The 8,573-nt window shown below is 37.0% G+C and overlaps 2 annotated features.

Moving 5' to 3' along the window:
* Positions 4,012-4,306: an enhancer, noted in NCBI's record as "tiled region #13056; HepG2 Activating non-DNase unmatched - State 24:Quies". NCBI's record gives its function as "activates a minimal TATA promoter and a strong SV40 promoter by Sharpr-MPRA in HepG2 cells {active_cell/tissue: HepG2}" and the evidence as "EXISTENCE:reporter gene assay evidence [ECO:0000049][PMID:27701403]".
* Positions 8,078-8,277: an enhancer, noted in NCBI's record as "active region_29517". NCBI's record gives its function as "activates an Ori minimal core promoter by ATAC-STARR-seq in GM12878 lymphoblastoid cells {active_cell/tissue: GM12878}" and the evidence as "EXISTENCE:reporter gene assay evidence [ECO:0000049][PMID:35858748]".

The raw sequence follows: 8,573 nt of genomic DNA on the forward strand, positions 1-8,573 counted from the left end.
GACGAAAAAAATTTACTTGACTCTAGTGTGGCAGCTTCCAAACAGGATGTCATTTGTCAATCTTGGAACTGCTGTCCACAAGCCAAACAACTTTTGTTAGATGAGAGGTATCTATCAGGCACTGTAGAATCTAGCAGCTCCTCATATAGTAAGAATCAGTCCTAGAGGAAAAAGAGGCTCCTTGCTTATGAGTATTCTCCTCCTTGCATTCCCCAGGTAGTAAGATCCTATATAAAAAGGATTTGGGTCCCCAGCAGGGGATTGGGCCAAGGGATTCAGGACCTTTTCTATATCTTTATCTTAGTTGTCTCAACATTGCACCAGGCAATGTGAGCTTTCTCATAACCTTTGCCTTTTGACTTTTCTTAAATTTTCCAATCTGGGGCAAACAGTGTCTTAAGACCTTTGCTTTAACCACCTCAGCTTTTATTTTATCATTTCTTAATAACCATTCAAATACTTTCATCACTCCCTTTTGCCTTTCCCATTTTTTAAAATTATCCTCAATGTTTTATTTAAGCATCTGCAAGACATATGAAGGACAGCAAATTTGATAAGGCTACTCAAACAGTTGTATGATTCTGTGGAAGTAATGTTACCCAGAGTGCCCATGTAAAAGGCACCCCTTTAACCCCCAAATTTCCAATGACCTGAGTAATAGACATATTCAGCGGGAGAATATCCCAGACATGATAAAGCCAGTTCCACATGACTTGCATATGAAGCATATCAACTGCTTCATCTGGAGTACACCACTTGGTATTTTATAGGGAGAGATGGATAGTCCCCTTATCAGGGTAAACAGATGTTACAGTGGTGTTTATCTGATCCATTAGGCTGGTTGTTCCCTCAGGAATAATCTCCTGTGCATTTGGATCACATATACTCATCAGCAATTGTTTAATAGTGAGCACAACTGAAACACACTCTTTCATTCTGTACCATTTAAAATTAAGGATTTTAATAATTATATAACTAGGATTACTTAATTTAAACATAACTTTTAGATTTTAAATTGCTAGAGAGAATTGAGATTAAATTCATCTTAAAGTAATTTTTTTTCAATCCATTATAGTAAATTTTTCTCAGGAAGCCGATGATACCAATCTACAAACTAGAAAAACTCTTTTACATTATACCCTTTTGTTTTAAGAGTTACTTGGTTTTGACCTTTCCCCACATTGACTATCTTCATGGTAACCACAGGTCTCAGAGGTACCTTTTGTGGATAGCTTGGAGGCTTGTAGCCTGAGCTGGGACAGAGCCACATCAGGTCTTGGTCTGGTCTTAAGGACCAAGCAAGTACTTTTTTACTCTTATTTTAACTATTACAGATAATAAACCAAGAGATTGAATATTTTGCTTTTTACTTATTAGTTTGCACATCTGTAGGCATCCATTGAATGTGGGAGTATGATCCATCTCGAAATTCCACTGGCAACTTACCTTTAGTAACTGAATGCAGCCCAACTGCAGCTCCATATCGTGGGTGACCATGTGGCCACCCCAGAGTCAAGGATTCTCATCCCTCCATCTTTATATATTTCTCTCTATCCATTTAGTTTTATTTATATAATTTTTTCTTTATTTTAAGGCATTTTTAAATAGTCTATTAAATTTTAAAAATTACATTTTCTTTAGCAAAATCTACATCCTTGTGTTTTTATAAACTTTAGCAAAAATACATTTTATTCTCCTACTACTTTATGTCTTAGTAATCCAAATTCCCAATGGAAAAAAAACAAACTAGGATTTCTTAACTTAAACATAACATGACTTCCAGATTTTAAATTACTGGAGAGAGAATTGAGATTAAATTTACCAAATTAATCTTCCCAAATATTACTAGTCATGTGAACTACAAGGCATCTGACCTAGATTCTGTCAAATATGGTTAAGTATTAAATTCTTTAAGGCAATTGTTTAGAGCTCTTTCATACAGTTTGGTGTGAAACAGAACTTGGACATGTCATATGTAAACATATAGACATAGCAGACATACAGAAAAAAGCAAATCCAAAACATTTTTAATTTGCTTGTTTTCAAAAATTCTCTCCCTTACTTTAGAGTATTAATTTAAAAACATTACAGGAGCCAACAAAAGTTGAAAGAGAAAGTTTCCATTCAAGGCCTTCTCAAAAGACAGAAGCAACTGAAGCAGCAGGGTACAACTTCTGAGATATCAATCTGAATAATTTGAAGAAGAAACATATTTAAAAATTTAAAAATTAGGACAGGCACGGTGGCTCATGTCTGTAATCTCAGGACTTTGGGAGGCTGAGGTGGGCAGATCACGAGGTCAGGAGATTGAGACCATCATAGCCAACATGGTGAAACCCCATCTCTACTAAAATACAAAAAATTAGCTGGGCGTGGTGGCGCATGCCTTTAATCCCAGCTACTTGGGAGGCTGAGGCAGGGGAATCGCTTGAACCCGGGAGACAGAGGTTGCAGTGAGCTGAGATCGCGCCACCTGGTGACAGGGCAAGACATCATCTCAAAAAAAAATTAAAAATTAAAACTTCTTGCATTAAGAGTAACAATATTTTTAATAAAATCTTGTTCTCACCCATCCTTCAGTTTTATATGTGTATTTTTAATATGAAAGTCCAATTTTTAGAAAAATTATAATTTATTTCAATTATAGCCTCCATAATCACATAACATTTTTATAAATTTCTTTTATACTGATCTTATTACAACTTATAGAAACCATTCCTAACATGCTTGGACTTTCTGGTCACTAAATATCCATCTTTCTTGAACAACCCAGTCCCTTTTACTTTAGGAGAAAAAATTCACCATATAAAATTCTTTCTCATATAAAACTACTTTTCCTTTAAGCTTTATTATCAAAAATACCTTTTTATGTCTATAATTTTCTTTACATCTTTCTTATTTCCTGGTTCTTTTTACCTGGTTTTATATATAACCTTTAAATAAGCTCTGAATTAGACAAAAATTATTTACTTTTTAATAAGAACACATTTTTAGAAAGAATGTTTTCTTATACTGTAAGTTTATTTTTTAAATTGGAAAATAACCTGTCATTTAATGAAATGTCTATTATTTAATTTAACTTTAGATTCTAAATTATGACAAGTTCATTTACAATTAATTTCATTTACCTAATTATGTTATTTTAATAATTTAGCTAGATTATTTATAAAAACTGTGATAGTCATCATCTAAAATTATGTTCCTGTCTACCATTTTTATAGCCTGTGAATTTCAGGTGTTTATCTGAGTAAGATAAGCTCAGGATTAAATATGTGCTTATTTTACAAATAATTCAAGACGTAGCTGTTTCTATGAAACCAACAATATTAAATGTCTTATTTATCAAACATCACACAAGCAAAGATCATTCTGTTTTGGGCTGGGTTTACAGCTTTATAACTCTTATGCCAAATTTTGACACTATAGTATTTGACAGGGATAAGTATGAAATTGATTAATAAATGCAAACACAAAAGTATGTTGACAATTCTTAAGACATTTCTAATATTACTTTACCAACAATTTTAAAGCCAGTTTATTAAATATTTTACTTAAGTCATGTGAGCTTGAAAATCATTTGAGCTTATTAATTAATTAATTAATGCTTTTTAACTTTAAGCCAATTCACTACCTTGTGGCCAAAAACACACAGTAAAATAATTGTAAATACACTTAAACACACACATACAAATGAAGCAAAATACAGTCACTGGAGCAGTCTTGATGTCTGAGGTATTACCCAGAGTTGTTTGCCTCACAACCCAGAAAATTAAGGAGCGTAGACACCAAGGGTGAGGTTGGCGCAAATGTTTAATAAGTGAGAGAGGAAAGCTCTCCACAGCAGAGGGGTGTCTGGGAGGGTTGCTGTTTCACACTTCAATACAAAAACTTATAAACAAGCTAAGGGAGCACATTTGCATAGGGCACAAAAAAACATTTAGGGCTGGGTGTCTTATTTGCATAAGGTGCAAATTCTTGTTAGCTCCACCCCATTCCTCTAGTGCATATGTGGGTCCTTAGCCTGAGTTACTACGTATTGTTTTATTTTCCTTACTGCACATGGATCAGGAGATGGAATTTTCCACTGTGGACATGTCTGACTCTATGTAACCTTTTTTATCTACACAATTGCAGGCCAGTCTTAGGCAAGCCCCCTTGTGCAAATTCCCTTATCTGTGTATGCCCAAAAAGGAAAGGAATGTGCTCACTGAAGCCCACCATGTATAGGCAGAGCTCGCTGGTTGCACAAAAAAACAAAAGTGTTGACCCCTGCTTACTTATCTGTGCTTGCAGCTTGATTTATTCCAGGCTGCTCTTTTATTGGAGGGACTTCTACTGGTAGCCCCGTCCTAACTATCTGCCTAATCAGTTCCTTCCTGTCTCCTCTCTCACAAATTTATGCAAACAAGGATTCTATAGCTTTTCTTTCAAACTCTGATGAGATTAGTAAAAACTCACCCTTTTGCCAGAACAATAACAACAATAAATGCTTAGATGCACACAGTGTATTTTATCTCAACAGAAAAGTAATAGCAGATATAATGCAGACAGAAAACAGAGAGATAGAGAACTTAGGAACTTTATAGTTGCAGGTCAACCTTTGGCCTCTGGATTTTCCTTGATGTAATTTGACCATCAGTTTAACATGTGCACAAGAACAGACCTAATGTGTAACCAGCTGGAGTATTAGAAAACCTGGCACTTCCTTCCATTTACACAATCACAAATTGAGTCGCTGTAAAAACAAATGGGGTACCTGAAAATGCGTCATTCTCCTTGTCTTTCCTCATTATCATGTAAACCAAAAATAAAATTCTAAGCCCCTCCCAACCATCTGAATGAACTTCCTCCTCAGCCAGGGCTCTTAAAATTTAACCTGAAAGACTGGTTTAGGCCATGAAGGCAAGTGGGGATCAGACAAGCCTCATTATACCTCTCTGGCATTAACATCGATACAGACTTTAAGTCTGATAAGAAATATTTCACATCCTATTCTCTCTGAAGCCTGCTAGCTAAAAGCTTGATCTGCATAGTGAAACTTTCGTCCCTACCACCTCTTATCACAACCCAGACATTCCTTTATATTGATCCCAGGTCTTTAGACAAACTCAACCAATTGTCAACCAGAAAATGTTTAAATTTACCTATAGCCTGGAAGGCCCCCTGCTTCGAGTTGTCCTGCCTTTCTGGACCAAACCAATGTATTTCTTAAATGTATCTGATGGATGTCTCATGCCTCCCTAAAATGTATAAAACCAAGCTGCACCCCGACCACTTTGAACACATGTTCTTAGGATCTCCTGAAGGCTGTGTCATGGCCATGGTCACTTATATTTGGCTCAGTATAAATCTCTTCAAATATTTTACAGAGTTTGACTCTTTTCATTGATACGTAGATTATTTGTTTCCCACTTTTCTTAATGGAAAAACTGAGCTGTGGCTTAAGGTTTACTGTTGTTGATCAAGATGTGCTGATTGTGGTTGGGACTCCATAGTTTGTCACCATTGACTCATTTCTGCCTTCTTATGTGCCTCAGTTTCTTTCTCCAGAGGTCTAGCCCCTCCAAGAGACCTCGAAATGCAGTGTGACCAGCTCCTGTGTGTTTCCTGGATGAGGCTTTTAAAAATAATTTTGTTGGGTGTTCCCTGTGAGACCACTGCATGTTGCAGTGGGTCAATCTCCCAGACATTCCCACTGGGCCCCCAGTCACCAAGGAGTGCCTTTCAGTTGTGAGGAGCAAAATGTCCTTTCTTTTTGGGACACGCATGACAATTGAAACTCCACAATGAAAACAGAACACTCCAAAAAGGGTTAGTGGCCCCTCTGTTCTGAGTTCTTTAAGGGGTTCAAGTCATTAGAAACCTTCTCTCTATATGTTTTTGGTACTGAAAATGGTAAAAGGGGAAGGAGAAATAGGGTGGAAGAAAAGTAAACAAAAGAACTATTTTTTTTTTAAAGAAAGGAAACAAACACAGAAATCAAGTGCATTTTTGTTAGTTTTTTACAGCTGCAAGGAATTTTAGCCAATTCAGGGACCTTGTTCCCCATAATTTGGAATTCTCATTCAGATTTGACCAAGTCACGCAGGGTTGGTCAAATCCAATGGGAGAAAGGCCAGACCAACAACAACAAAAATCCCGACAATATGATTACTGAGCACTCTAATGGTTAGGAGAAATTAAGACCAACTGGTTGTCCATTTTAACTTTTAGTCATGAAGGAGAATTTCCAAGACCAAAAAAAAACCAATTTAGCTACTTACCTAGGCATGGGCCCCAACTAAAGACCGTTCTCTACTATCTTTGAAGCAGGAAAGAAAAAAAACTCAAACTCCCCTCCCTGTTGGAAATTAGCTGAAACTCCAGAGAGGAGTTCTCTATTCTCTATCATCATGGAAGCAGGAAAACTTGCCTTCCTGTTGGAAGCAAATAAAAACTCCAGAAAATGAATTGTACAGCAAAATAAACTGTAGATCTTGACCAAATTTGGGGAGATGATGGATTCTCTGGAAGTGGTGGGGGGAGCTCCCAGACCTCTGCAAATTGTCCTATTGGTTTGAGACTTAAAGATAGCTCAAGCTGGTACCAAACAACAATAGGAGATTTGTCAAAAGTCAGTGGAAGCTCCACTCAGACTTCCTTAATGGTTATCCATTTGTAAACCAAAAGTGTCTGAGACATGTCTCAATCAATTTAGAAAGTTTATTTTGCCCAGGTTAAAGATGTGCCCCTGATAGCCTCAGAATGTCTGATGACATGTGCCCAAGGTGGTCAAGGTACAGCTTACTTTTATACCTTTTAGGGAGACATAATACATCAATCAATACCTAAAAGATGTACATTGGTTCAATCTGGAAAGGTGGGCCAATTTGAAGTGGGGACTTCCAGGTTATAGGTCGATTTCTCTGATTGACAATTGGTTGAGTTATTATCTAAAGACCTGGAATCAGTAGAAAGGAATGTCTGGGTTATGATGATAAAGGGGTTGTGAAGACCAAAGTTTTATCACACAAAAGAAGCCTCCAGGTAGCAGCCTTCAGAGATAATAGATTGTAAATGCTTTAAAATCAGACTTAAAGGCTGTGTTGTTGTTAATACTGACTGGCTTTTCCTGAATTCCAAAAGGCAGGAAGGTCTGATGTCCCCTTCACATAATGACCTGAACTAGTGAACTAGTTATTTTGTTTTTGTTTTTGAGACAGGGTCTCACTGTGTCACTCAGGCTGGTTAGTGCAGTGGTGCAATCTTGTCTAACTGCAACCTTTAGGCTCAAGTGATTCTCCCACTTCAGCCTCCTGAGTTGGGACTACAGGCATTCACCACCCCTTCCTGCTAACTTTTGTATTTTTTGTAGAGACAGGGTTTCACCATGTTGCCCAGGCTGGTCTCAAACTCCTGAGCTCAAGCAGACTGCATGACATGGCCTCCCAAAGCACTGGGATTACAGGTGTGAGCCATTGTACCCAGCCCATGAACTAGTTTTTCAGGTTAACTTTGGAATGCTCTTGGCTGAGAGGAGGGGTCCATTCAGGTGGTTGGAGTGCTTAGAATTTTGTTTTTGGCTTATATTTTTAAAATAAGCATGGTTGGGATACTCAATGACATAAGGACTATGCTTATTCTAAAAATTATAAAAATATTACACAAAAATAGCAATAAAATATTAAAGAAGTTACAGGTTGAATATATAATATAAAATAGTTTGAATATGATAAAGAATCAAATCAAATTGAAATATGGGAAGCAAAAATATCATTAAAATAAAAAATCAATGGGTAGGGTAAACTATAAATGCAGCAGGACGAGCCACAGACAAAACCTCTCAGACACCGAGTTGTAGAAGGAAGGGCTTTATTCAGCTGGGAGCATTGGCAAGCTACTGCCTTAAAATCCAAGCTCCCCGAATGCACAATTTCTGTCCCCTTTAAGGGCTCACAACACTAAAGATTTCACAGAAAGGGTCATGATTGATTTGAGCAAGCAGGGGGTACGTGACAGGGGCTGCATGCACCAGTGGTCAGAGTGAAACAGAACAGGGCAGGGAGTTTCACAATGTTCTTCTATACAATGTCTGGAATCTATGAATAACATCGGTTTCTAAGTTATGAGTTGATTTTTAACTACTGGGGTTAGGCCAGGCAGGCCCAGGCCTGGTTTTGGGCCTGGCGCCAGGCTGCCTGTCTTTGGTTTTACTTCCTTGTTTTTTTCTTAAAACAGGTACTGAGTATAAAACAATATGAGAGGGTCTCTCTCTTCCCTCAGAAACAGAACACCACTGAACACATATATTACTGACTTTGAAGATAGCATTCAACACTTCATCTGCTAAGCAGAAAAGAAAAAAATAGGCAAAATACAAGCAGTTAAGATACCCATAAGGTCTATTCAGACCTTTTAACTTAAACTTCAATAACTATTATCTAGAAATATTTGTTTTAGAATATAAAGAATGCAGGCAATGGCAGGGAAGGAAGATTTGATAAGATATTAGCTGAGAATTTTCTAACATTGAAGAAAGACATATTAAAATTAACACTGCACTTTGAGTACCAACCAGGGTAATAATAATAATA

The sequence above is a fragment of the Homo sapiens genome, chromosome X (genome assembly GCF_000001405.40).
Source record: "Homo sapiens chromosome X, GRCh38.p14 Primary Assembly".
NCBI lineage: Eukaryota > Metazoa > Chordata > Mammalia > Primates > Hominidae > Homo > Homo sapiens.